At 53.6% G+C, this 13,073-nt stretch overlaps 1 protein-coding gene across 6 annotated transcripts in view, besides 2 other annotated features; it reads left to right on the top strand.

The window, feature by feature from the left end:
• Positions 1 to 13,073, top strand: part of KCNQ1 (potassium voltage-gated channel subfamily Q member 1) — a 404,098-nt gene that overhangs the window by 362,833 nt on the left and 28,192 nt on the right. The window lies entirely within an intron of this gene.
• Positions 3,431 to 4,193: an enhancer, noted in NCBI's record as "H3K4me1 hESC enhancer chr11:2832501-2833263 (GRCh37/hg19 assembly coordinates)". NCBI's record gives its function as "activates a minimal SCP1, AML or CMV promoter by ChIP-STARR-seq in primed H9 embryonic stem cells {active_cell/tissue: H9 hESC(primed)}" and the evidence as "EXISTENCE:reporter gene assay evidence [ECO:0000049][PMID:30033119]".
• Positions 4,194 to 4,957: an enhancer, noted in NCBI's record as "H3K4me1 hESC enhancer chr11:2833264-2834027 (GRCh37/hg19 assembly coordinates)". NCBI's record gives its function as "activates a minimal SCP1, AML or CMV promoter by ChIP-STARR-seq in primed H9 embryonic stem cells {active_cell/tissue: H9 hESC(primed)}" and the evidence as "EXISTENCE:reporter gene assay evidence [ECO:0000049][PMID:30033119]".

Raw genomic sequence — 13,073 nt, forward strand, 5'->3', positions numbered from 1 at the left:
TGGCCCCCAATCCGGTCACCAACTTGAGGCTGCCCCTGACAAGCCCTGGCTGCAGCATGAGGGAAGCAGCGGTAGAGAAGGCCAAGTTTGGGCACCTTGCACAGCCTCCTGGAGCCTCGGTTTCCACATCTGTAAGGATGAGACAGGAACGGTCTCTCTGGGGGCAGGGCCGGTGGTACCTGGAGCCCTCCCCACTGAGCACCTGGCCCAGTGCCCGGCACGTGGCAAGTGAAGGCGGCTGCTTCCCGCCCCTCTCATGGACACCACTGTGGGCACCACTTGGGCACCCTGTGGGCTTATTTTCCCTGCCCACTGCCAAGCACCAGACCAAGATCTGATGCCATCTGCCCAGGGCATTGAGGGTGAACCCATCCAGGCTGGCCCGCCTTCCAGCCCTCCCCCAGCACCCACCAAGCCCCTGCGATATCCCAGTGGAAGATAATGGAGGTGTTACGGGGATGGGCTAGAACTCGGTCCTGGCATCACAGAGCTACCCCGGTCAAAAATATACCATGTAATTACAGACCAGGAAAATTACTGTGCAGGAGCAAAGCAGGGCACTGTGCCGGAGAGGAACAGGGGTGGTCAGGGAAGACCTCCGAGGGAGGGGCATTTGAAAATAGCATTCAGAGTTGCTATTAATAGGCTCTGATGCAGAACTGAGCAGAGAAGAAAACAAAAGAGGACCATAATATCTCCACAGAGAACTATCATTAATTTTTTAAATGGGAGTCCTCAGGTAGGTTGGTTGATTGAGTGATTGATTGATTGATAATCTTGGTTCTATTTGAATTTCTAGAAAATTCCAACAGTACAGAAAGGTCTGAAATGAAAGGTAAATACCTTCATGACCATGCCCCCTTTCCCTAGGATACCCCTTGTTATCCTAGAAATACCCATCCTTAGTGTGAGGAGAGCAGCATTCCAGACGCTTCTCTGTATGTTGCATAGAAAAAGGATGGTTAGATACATGGGCAGATTAATGGATGGACAGATTGTTGTATGGAGGATTAGGGGAGGGATAAATGGATGGATGGATGAACACATGGACAATGGGTGGGTAGATGGGTGAATAGATGGGTGGACAGATGGAAGGATGGATGGATATATGGATGCATGGAGAGACAGAGAAATAGATGCAGAGATGGAGGGAGGGAGGGAAGGAGGGATGGATAAATGGAGGAATGGAGGAATGGATGGATGGAGGGGTGGGTAGGTGGGTGGGTAGGTGGGTGGCCAGACAATGGATGTGTGAGTGAGTAGATGAATGAGTGGGCAGACAGACAGACACACCATCAGAAGCAAATATAAATATGGAATCAAGGGATGCCTGCAGCTTTTGAATTGTTGATTTTTTTCTTTTTTTAAGAAGAAACCAAAGTAAAACAGAAGGAATTGCTGAATTCAGATAAATGTTTCTTCACCAAAAGAGAAATTCATTTCTAAATGTCACTTTCAGGTTAAGGAAAATAAAATGTGGGACGCTGGACTCATCGTGGGTTTTTGCGGTCTTCTCTCAGCTTTGTGTGGTAGCCAGCGACGCTGCAACCCCGCCCCCGCAGCCTCCTGGTGCAGCACGTGTTCATTTATGGGTTGTTGTTACCGTGGCATTGGTCCAGGTTTGTGATACTTGTGCACAGCTTGGGGGCTCTGCTTCCCTCTGTTTGTTCGTCTTGGTGCTGTGTATGAAGGTGGCAACAGACTCCCCATAGTCCTCTCACCACAGACACCTCTTCTCAGTTCTTCGTTTCCAGTTGGACTCATCTCCTGACTGGTTGGGTTTCTGCCTCGGTCGCTGACTCCAGAGGGCCCCACGGCTCATGCCTGCTTCCCTGCTATCCTCCTGTGCACTGTTGGCCTTTATCATCTCCACCACGTGCTCAACACTCCAGGCCAGAGCCCTTCTCTCAAATCCCCTTTGGTTCTAGCCATGTTTCCCTGAGCTCTTCCCTCTCTGTCTCTAATTGATGTGTTTTCCTCCCAAACCCTCCTTCCTTGCATAATTCTGCAACTGACCTTTTTTCTGGCCATCCTAGATTGGGTTTACTGTTCCCTGGTACTCAGACCTGCTTAATGCTCATTTCTTCAGTTTTCTGGGGAAGCCTCAGGGGCCTTACTGATAAGAACTGTGTGGAAGGTAAGCATTCAAAGTTCTTACATGGTGAAAATATCTTCATTCAACCATGGTGCCCTATTGATAGTTTAAGTGGGTATAGAATTTGGAGCTGAATGTAATTTTCCTTCAGAATTTTGAAGACCTCGTCCTATGGTTTTCTAGCATCCAGACTTACTATTCAGAAGTCTTATACTTGCTTTAGTCTCATACTTTTGTAAGTGGCCTTTCTTTTCTTCCTGGAAATGTTTAGTATCTACCATCTGGACTCAGGGGTTTCAATTTCCCAGAGAAGTTCCCTGTGGATGGCTTTGTTCATTGACTGTTCTGGGCACTTGGTGGGCTCTTTGGAAACTTTAGTCCTTGAGCTCTGGAAAGGTCTCTGTATGATTTCTCATCATGGAGGCCACCATCTCTGTTCTCTCTTTCTGAAATTCCTTTTAAGTCAGACTGAAGACATTTTTAATGACACTTTGATGTCTCAACTTTCTTCCCCTTTTTTATGGCATTATATTCTTAACTTTATCTCTTCAGAGTTCTAGGAAATGTTTTTAGCAGTCCTGTTTTTAATATCCCAGAGCACACGCTTGCTCTCTGACCGTGGTCATGGCATTCCGCCCTCATTTGATGGGCACGACAGCTCCTAGGATCTTTCTGGAGACTCCAGATACATCTTATATCTTAAGTTCTGCTTAATTCCTTGATCTTCTGTTTATGTTTGGCCAGCCAGGCCCCTCTCTCTCATGTTCTGAATGTTTTTCAATGTTTGCTCGGGATCTGTGCATGGATGGGCCTGCTGGCATTTAGGATGTGTTGACAATGACTGGGGGAGGTGCCTGTCATTACACTGAGGAACCCCATATGTTAGAGCTCTGAGGCTGCTGCATCTGAGAGCTTGGGCTCGAGGTACAGGGCTGGCAGCCGGGAGTCCCACCTGTAGGACGCTCTGCTGTGGCAGAGGGACAGGACATGGACCTCATGCTCAGCCCCTTCCCATCGTCTTGGTGCTGTGGGCCTGATGTGTGCCTCCACAAGGACTCCCGCCTTCCCAGCATGGCATTCAGAGCAGCAGATGGCTTAGACTCACCCCCGCCCAGTCTTGGCACCCTTACAGCCCCGGCGAGACCCGGGTGGGCGTGGACCCTAGCGTCCCTTCACCCTCAGGCTGTGCACCTCCGCAGTGCCGTGTCCTGTCTGGAGCCTGTCACACCCCTGTACAGCTACCCCAATCCAAATGGAGCCTCCCCCAGGAAGCCCCTGGTGGGAATCCGTCCCCACGACCCCTGTCCGGCTTCCCTGGCTCATTGTCCCTGTTACAACCCAGATTTCCCTTATCGCAACTGGTCCTAGCCTGTGACCTCCTGGGGTGGGGAATCATCTCTGCAAACACAGCTCCTCCACCCTTATCAGTGCTTTGTGAAGGCAGCAGAACGTTCTCCTGAGCCAGTGTCTGGGTCACTTGAGCAATGGCTGCCAAGTCCATGGGCCTGCACGCATGAGGCTGTGCCTGTGTCTGTGCCGCTGGAGACCTTCTTGAGGTTCACTGCCCTAAAGGCCGCATGAGGGGACAGAAGGTGAACACAGGGCCCTGCTTGGTCTGACAAGCCCAGGCGGGGCCCTTGCCGAGCGTCAGGGTGGCTGGCAGCCACCTTCTGTGATCGTCCTCCTTCTGGGCTGCGGTCTAGGGCTGCACATTCAGGATGGGGATGTCCCAGTGGGCGCGCAGCACAAGGGTCAGCAGACCCCTGGCTGGAGGAGGTCAGTGTGGGGGGCTGCGTGGGAGACGGTGCAGCAGTGGGCCTGGGAGCTGAGCAACGGTGGCTGGGATGGGTGGAGACCACCAAAGAGGAGGGGCCGGCGAAAGCCAGGCTTCCTGCAGGCTCAAGCCTGGAAAACGGTGCTCAGTGAGCAACACATTCCCGTTCTACAGTTTCCTGAGCTCCCGAGTGCCCGCCGCAGGATGACAGTGGGACAGTCCTCACAGGGGCATGCTCAGGCCCTGCCCCAGGCAGACCCCACGCCCTGGCACGCAGCCCCACCGGCTGTGCCGCCTCTCGTTCCTGTCCTCCTGGCACCGCCGGCCACCCCTCAGCCCAGCCCTCATGGTTCTCTAAGCCGCCGCCTCCTCAGGAAGCCTCCCAGGCACCCATGCTCCCTGCACTGACCCCCAGACCCCAGCTTTGGCCATGCACTCCCAGACGGCTGGTCCCCACACAAACTTTCTGTTTCAAGGAACAGAAACACCCCTGAAACTTGTCTAAGAAGGAAATGTGTCAACTCACATACATGAAAAGCCTGAGTCCCTCCTCAAAGTCCTCCCCTCCCTCCTTCTCTCTCCTTCCTTCTTTCCCCCTTCCCTCCTTCCCTCCCTCTCTGCTTCCTTCTCTCCTTCCTCCCTGAGACCTGGGACGCCGAGGAGGGTTCCGTTCCCTCCCCCACCCTGGCAGTGCTCGGGGGCTCCAGTTGAAAATGATGGGGGACACATTTGCATCACAGCCTGCCCGGCCGGCTCTGTGGCCCCTGATCTTCCTACTGCAGCCTCTGCCGGGGCCGGAAGGGCATTTCCGGGAGGCGGGAACAGCATGTATGAAGGCAGAGCTCCTTCCCGGAGAGGAGGGCCAGCCCCGTCCCCAGGGGCTCCCGGCTTTCTCTCTCCCCCTACATTCCTGTCTCCATGCAGCAGCCAGAGGGACTTTAAAACATAAACCAGACCACAGCACTGCCTGCTCAAGCCCCCCATGGCCTCCCTCTTCCCTAGGAAGCAATCCAGGCACCCTTCCATGGCCGTGGGCCCCACGCCCCCGAGGCCCCACGCCCCCGGGGCCCCATGCCTGCCCTTGCAACATCCCCTTCCTGACTCCACCCAGCCTCCTGGGGGCTTCCGCCTCAAGGCCTCTGTGCCTGTGTGAGTGGCACCCTGGGGTTGTGCCATGGCCAGCCCTCAAACCATCTGAAGTCTGCTGTTGGCACCTGCCCTCTCCTGGCTGCAAAGCTGCCCCCTCATGGCCTCAGGTCTCTGCCCCAGCCTCCAATCCCTCATTACTGCCCCAGCCTGTGCCTGTGCCTGGAGGCTGTGGCCTGGCTCTCCAGCTGGAACAGAAGCTCTGAGAAGACAGAGCTGGCCAGCACCATCTCTCCTGTGAGAACCCTGTGCCTAGAACGGAGCCTGGTACAGAGGAAGAACCCGACAGACTGTGAGCCCTGTCTTCCTCTTGGCACCATGAGTCACCTGTCAAACTGAGGGGCTGGCAGAGCTGGAGGGAGTTCCATCCCAGCCCCAAGGTGCCTGGAGTAGCTTATGGAGGTCACTGATGGCCTCAGGATGCCAGCAGGCCCTCTGATGCCCAGGGCTCATTCAAGGGCATCTGCCCTGTGTCCTCATGCACCTCCATTCAGGGAACCTGGGCTCCCCACTCTCACAGGGGTGGAGACCTGCACCTCTTTTTCACCCCCAAACCCGCCTGCCCGTCAGTGCTTAGAGCAAATGCCCCTCCCCCGCCATCTTTTCATGACTCTCCCCCTTCCTCAACCCTGCGCCTGGTCACCAAGTCCTGACAACACCTCCAGCCCCTGTCTCTATGGTCCCCTCCTTGATCTGGAGCCATTCAGCCACATGGAGTATGTCCTCTGTCGAGGGGGCAGGGACTCAAAGGATGAGAGAAGGAACAGAGGGGAGGACCAACATCTCGGCTGATCCTGGTCTATTTTTAGTCGGTGGTGGGCTGTCACTCCGGAGGCCAGTGACTGCGTCATCAGTGCCTTTTGATCTTGTTGCCGCAAGATACACAGGAGGCAGCTGCTCACTGCTTGTGGAAAGAATGAGGGCGGGCACATAGGCCTGGGGTGTGGGGAGCATTAATGAGTGTGAGTGAGTGGCGGATGAGTAGGTAGATGGACGGGGAGCTGCAGGGAGGGAGGGTTGCAGAAAGGGATGCGTGGAAGGATGGTTGATGGATGGATGGTTAGATGGATGAAGAGATAGATGAATGGATAAAGAGGTGAAAGGATGAATAGAGAGATGGAGGGAAGGAGGGCTGAATAAAGAAATGGATGGATGGATGGATGATGGATGGATGGGTGTGTGGGTATGTGGATGGAGAGATGGATGAATGGTTAAAGAGGTGGATGGATGAATGGAGAGATGGAGGGAAGGAGGGATGAATAAAGGGATGGGTGGATAATGGATGGATGAATGGGTAGGTGGGTGAATGGATGGATAGATGGTTGAGTGGGGGGGTAGATGGAGAGATGCATGAATGGATAGAGGTGGATGGATAAATGCAGAGATAGAGGGAAGGAGGGCTGAATAAAGGATGGATGGATGGTGGGATGGATGGATGGATGGATGGATAGATGGATGGATGGATCGATGGGTGTGTGGGTGGGTGGAGAGATGGATGAATGGATAAAGAGGTGGATAGATAAATGGAGGGAAGGAGAGCTGAATAAAAGGATGGTGGGTGGGTGGATGGATGGATGGGGAAATGAAGAGATGGGTGGGTGGATGGATGGATGAGTGGTGAATGAATGGATGGATGGGGAGATGGAGGGAAGGGAAGGCTGGATAAAGAGACGGCTGGGTGGGTGAGCTGATGGAGAAATGATGGATAGGTGGATGGGTAGATTGAGAAATGATGGATAGGTGGATGGGTAGATGGATGGAAGGAGACAAGGAAGGAAGGAAGGAAGGAAGGAAGGAAGGAAGGGTGGAGGTAAGGGAGGGAGGGAGAGGGAGCAAGCAGGCTTGGATGAGTAGCTAAAGCACCTCAAGCAAGGGTGTCTCCCTTAGAAATACATGTGCCTCCAAGTCCTCGAGGCTGGCATCCCCTCCTGCTCCATCTGCCTCTGCCTGCTGGGCAGACCAGTCTGCTGTCCTACCAAGGCCTAGGTCTTGACTCTGGACTCTTCCATGCTCATCAGAGGGTACTGTTGGAGCTTCCTGGTCAGGCTGACCCAGCTGCCTCTGGAGCCTGGCCTGGGATCTGGAGAGAAAGCACCTGTGCAGACGGCCCCAGCGCTATGCCCTTCTGAGGCCTGCTCTGCACACACAGCTTTCCTCATCCCGGCCTCATGCACTGTGGGCAGGAGTTGTCCTAGCAACCATCATCCAGGCACCTGCTGCGTGCTGAGCACCATGCTGGGTGCTTCCTGTGCTCTCAACAGCCTTATGTGGTCAGTACCAATCCCTCCCCAAATTACCCCCATGCTCAGGGTGTCACTGAGGGTCCCAAGTCTGGGGTGGCCAGGTCACAGCTTGAACCTGGGCAGCCTTTATTCTCTAGGGGCCTTGGGGGTGTCTAGGCTGCCACCACAGCATCCACACTCCCCACTAGAGCCCACATAGGTCTTATGGGTGCCACAGCAGGGACCCCACTGGACCTCTGTGCTTTCTGGTGGGGGGCTTGTCAGGGAGCTCATGGGCACCTCTGGGTTCTAAGAAGCTATGCTGAGGCCCACAGGGTAGTTCTGAGTTCGGGGGACCCTCTCCTGGCCCTGTGGGGTCGGAGGAGGTCCTGGGAGCCCACCTCCTGTAGATCCAAACACCTGATCTCAGCTCAGGATCGCCACTCCAGTGCCCCATCCCAGAGCCTTTGAGAGTGGGGACAGGGTGTCCTGTTGTAGTTGCCAAGCCCAAGAAAGATGAGGCACCCAGGATGCCTGACAGTAGAGTTGCAGGGGGGCAGGCACCATCGCCCCCAGCCCCAGGCTGACCCCAGTCCCTCCCTATGCAGGCAGAGGGGCAATTGGAAGAGGCTGGAGACTATTCAGGAGAGGGTGGGAGCAGACACGGGAGTAGGATGGGGGCCCTGGAGGTACTGGGTGGAGCTGCCCCCAGCCCTTCCTGCTGGCCTCCCCAGAGCTCCAGGCTCTGAGGCCACACCCTCACCCAAGGCAAGTTGCTCAGGGGGTCTCCAGGCTGTATCTAACAGCTGCCTGTGCCGAAAAATTAAGCACCGCTGAGTCGCCGCACACCTGTCAGGGTGGAGGGGACTTGGGGGACCAGCCAGCTGGATATGTTCCCTTGCAGGCGGGCAGGGCTCTGGGGAGTCCAAGTGTGCACACAGTCCTGGGTGAGGGCTCCGTTAGATGAATGTGGACGGCTGGCGGCCGGGGCTTGGGAGATCAAGAAGTCCCTGAGGAAGAGGACAGTAGCCAGGGGCAAGACCTCACACGCCTCTGCCCATCCTGGGAAACTCACCATGGCATTGTGGTTGAAGGGTCAGTGGCCACCAGAGAGTTCCTGCTGCAGTGTGGAAAAGACAAACAGGCGAGTGAAGTGGATAAAGATTCAGGTTGTGGGAGGGAGACTTGAAGGGCAAGTTGGCCAAGACTAAAAAGTGGAGTCAAGCTCAGTGCTGGTGACGATGTTGGGGAGAGGGGCCTCCAGCGCCGTGGGGGAGAATTTCAAGAGCCTTTTGTGAAAATGGTCAGGCTGCTGAAAGTGAGACCACACTCACCCTGTGGTCCAGTGATCTCCTTCTGAGAATCCGCCCTGGAGCAGTAACACCCTTGGGACTGAGAATGGCTTCTGGGTTGTGCGTCATCGCTGTCCAGGAGTGGTGAAAAGCTGGACTCTGACTGCCTGTCATCCAGAGGGAGCAAACAGCCACCCTGTGGTGAAGCCACACCACATATGATGAGGGGCTGGAGGCAGCAGAAAGGGGGCTATAGGACCCTTTGACTCAAGGGCTAACCATGATGTTTCATTAAGGGAGAAATGCACTTGCTGCTCCTGGAACATTCTGGCTCACTCCCGCCTCAGGCCCACTGCCCTGGCTGGACTCCCTGCACTGAACGCTCCTCCCAGCTCATGCTTTCCAAAGTCCCCTGCTCAGGAGGCCTTCCCTGAGCCCCTGCCCCCTCCATTTCAGACATCTCCATCTGATGTCTGAGCCCTGAACAGACACAGGTGTCTGTTCAGGGCTCCTCAAATGCACAAATACATGTCTGTGACCACAGCCCAACCCCTGGGCAGTGGCTGCCCCTCTGCCTCTGGAGGTCCCCTCCAAAACCTTGGTCCCTGTCCGCAGAGGGTGTCAGGGCTTGAGGTCAACAGGGAGGTCTCAGGGCAACAGAGCCCAGTGGCACTCCTGACCCCAGGAGACAGAGGGAACCCACCCTCACCCTAGTCCACATGCCCGACCCATGACCCAGGCCTGTGGCGCCAGCCTGCACCCGGCTCTGCTCCACAGGCCAACTCTGCGCACGCTCCTTTCAAGGGTTAACGGTGCAAGCTCCTCACGGCACCAGTGCGCTTGCCTTTGACATGAAAATGTTTTTGCAGCAGGCTCGGATGCCAGCATTTTTGTGGTTGCAGTCAGATGTTTTTAACTACGTTGGACAGAACCCACGGCGGCCCTTTCCGTGGCTTCAGCCAGTTTCTGAGCGCTACCTTGAACCCCTGTTGCACCCCAGGAGGAGAATCACACCAGTGCCCCCTGACCCCCAGCCTTGTGCAGACACTGATACCCTTAGGATGAAGCTGACCCCAGTCGTGGCAGCCACCCCAGCAGTCAGGGAAGGACCTGCTGGGGCATTTCAGATCCTGAGCAGCATGTACCCTGTGAAAGAACAGGTTCCCCAATTTTGGTTCATGGTACCTGAGATGACGGCTTCAGATGATGTCCCTGGCCAGGGAGGTGGAGGACGCTGGGCAGAGCCCTGGGCATTAACTCAGGGCCATCACAGAGGTGGTGAGAGCTACCCCGGGTCTGGGGACTGTTAGCACAGACCTGAGCCGAGGCCCCCTTCTCACAGGGGCCTACCCACTTACGACCCACCTCCTCTCCTCCATGGCAAAGGTGATACATTAGACTCAAAGAGACATGATATCCCCTTGGGCTGCAACTTAAATTCCAAGGAGAGATCCTGAATCCAGAGTCACATGTATGTTAGAAACCTCTGGCACTCTCCCCTCCCCAGCCAGCACCTACCAGCTTTGCGCAAATGCTCCACATTTGCATTTTAAAAGCCCTGAGAAGGCCTGCAGTGAAAAAAACTAACTTCGTATAACCCAACTATTCCCAAACTCTATCTACAAAATATTTTTCTCTTTTATCATTAAAGAATATGCATTAACACCTAAAACCCACTATCCTGGCAAAAAAGTGGCAGGATTGTCTGAAAAACACATGGCCAGCCACCCTGCACCCTGAGTTCCACAACATCTAAACCCAGTGTCTGCTGGCCCTCAGAGTGGGAGCGCGTGCCCCAACTTCCGAGCCCTAGGAAAGGGTCTTGTCTGCTCTTCCCCTCAGTGTCAGGTGACCCAAGAGTGTGGGGGTCAGGAATGGCGTCCTTGTGCCCTTGTCACCCACTCCTGTGGGTACACAGCTTCCCTTTCTGCAAAGTCACACCCCAAGCCCTGGCTTGAGCATGTACACAGGCTGCAGCCCGTGTTCCTGGAGCCACCGTCCCAGGTGTGGCTAAGGCCCCCACAGAGTGTGCATCCTAAGGTGGTTCAGAGGTCCTCAGAAAGTGCCAAGAGGCCTTCCTCAGAGGAAGAGCAAGGGTAGGTGCCTCTGGCATGAGCCAGATGATGGGAGCTGTCACAGGACTTTGCCACCCGGGGTGAGGGGCCTAGAAACCCCTCTCCACCAGATGCCTTACACCCCCCATCCCCACACGCACACAGCTTGGAGGCTGGAAGCCCCCGGAATGCGGCCCACCCTGTCTCCAGTTGTTCCCTACCAGCCCAGCTGCTGGTCCCTAACCGGGCCCACCTGTTGGGTCCTTAGCACCAGCTGCCCAGAGCCCCCAGCCCCTACCCTAGTCTGATGACCCAGGCCTTTCCCCCTGCCCAGGCTAGCCTTGTGCTCAGCTGCCAGCACAGCCCCCACCACACACTCCCCAACAGGTGTCTCCACAACTGCCAGGAGACAGCTCAGCTTAGCTGCTCTTCCCCCAACCCCCAGGCCCAGCAGAATCACATCTAGGAGAGTGGGCCACATGCCTCTTGGAAGGCAGGTGGCACAAGAGGTTCATCCCACCCTCCAGCATTACCCAGCCCCACAGGACCCACATCCTGCTCCCAGCTCCAGCCTGAAAGGAGCTAGTCCTCTCCAGCCCCTTTGAAAAGACCAGCTGGACATTCTCCAGGGAGATTCTGCCCTACAGGATTAGGGAGTACCCTCACCTGGCCTTTGTTCATTGGTTCATTCATTCATTCATTCATTCAACAAGTATTTGCCAAGCATCCCTATGCTCCAGGCATCAGTGGTAGGCCAGACAGCCAAAGTCCCTCCTCCCAAGGGCTGTGGCCCACTAGGAGGACAGACAATGACAGAGCATTGTGTGCTCTATGCCTGCCCATGTGCTGAGGAAGGAGCAGGAGAGGAAGACAAACCAGAGTTTAAGTGAGGAGTGGGCAAGGCTTTTATGAGGCCCAGCCCACCCTCCCCTGGGCAAGCTGGGGATTTGGGAATGGGAGACATCCAACACGTGTCAGCCCATACATGAGGGTAGAAGTCCAGTTGAAAACACACCTGAAACAGCAGGGTCCAAACACCAGGTGCCGAGAGCCTTCCTGACATTGAACCTTCCTTGAATTCCTGAGGTAAACCTTATGTGATCTTGACTCAAGTCCAGCTGCTGATGCATTTTTAGGTTTTAGCATCTGTGTTCATACCTGATTTGGGCCTAGAATTTTCTTGTGTTTGCTTGAGCAGTTATGGTGCCTGGGGTTTTACCTTGTCAGATAAGTTGAGCAACCTCCCCTTTTGGCTAGTGCTCTGGGATGGATGGGATGGATGTCGTCTGCTTTTTTAGGTAATTATAGAAATCACCCCCAAAAACTAGACTGGAAACCTTTTAGAGGAGGGTAGGTAACTGGCATTTGTGTCTCCCCAATGGGTTTATGTTTCTTAGGATTTTCTACCACATAAGCCACTTTTGGTATTTTTTGCCTTGAAACTTATCCATCATATTGTGTTTTCAATTTTATTGATATGAAAGTATATATCATAATCACTTACAATTATTCAATTCCCTCGGTAGCAGTAGTATTCATTCCTAATTCTTATTTGTTACTTTACTTGCTTAAGGTTTATCTACTTTACTGGCTCTTCAAACAACCTGCATTTGGTTTTATTGGTCAATTCTTTTTCATAAAATATTTTTCTATTTTGCTAATATCTTCCTTTGACTTTGTTCATTCTTTTCTTTGTATTTGTTTTGGTGTTCTTTTTCTAGCTTCTTGAGTTGAAAGCTTAGCACATTTATTTTCAATCTTTTTTATTTTCTAAAATTGCCATCGATACTTCTCCAAATACCCTATAGGAAGCATCCCACACTCTTGGCATGTAATCAGCTCCTTGTAAATCCATCCTAAGATTTTCTCTCTGCCTTATTTTCTCTTTAATCAAAGAGTTATTTAGAAGGGTACTTTTTAAACTTCAAGATGTATCCATCTGTTGCTATTTTTATTAATAATTTTCTATTTTACATCAAGGTACAGATTTTTAGAAATTTATGGAGTTTTCCTTTGGTGCCTAATAGGATCATTTCTGTGACCTTTTTGTATATGTGTGGAGGCGGTGGAGTCTTTTCTGTTAATTGTGTTAAACTTGTTAGTGGAGTTCTGCGACTCCTCCACCTCCTGACTTACCTTGCTGTTTGTTTGTTTGTTTGTTTGTTTGTTAGTTTCACCCACTGTGGTTTGTCAGTTTCTGAGAGACAGGCACTAGGATGGCCAATAATATTGTGGATTTCTTGATGTGTTGGTTTTGTTCATTTGTTTTTCCTGCCCCATCCTCTGGGCCCTTAAAGCCTGGGCACATGTGTCCTCTCCTTACGTCTGGGGAAATGGTCTCCATTGAGGGTTTGAGTCTGCGTGGCTTCCGCCTCCCTTCCCTCCTGCTAGAGCCCCTCTGGAAGCTGCTGGAAGCCATGTCCTCCACATCCCCTGGCTCTTCCTTCATCCCATACTTTCTTCTCCCTGACAGAGCTGTCAAGGGGAGTG

This window comes from Homo sapiens, chromosome 11, assembly GCF_000001405.40.
Source record: "Homo sapiens chromosome 11, GRCh38.p14 Primary Assembly".
NCBI lineage: Eukaryota > Metazoa > Chordata > Mammalia > Primates > Hominidae > Homo > Homo sapiens.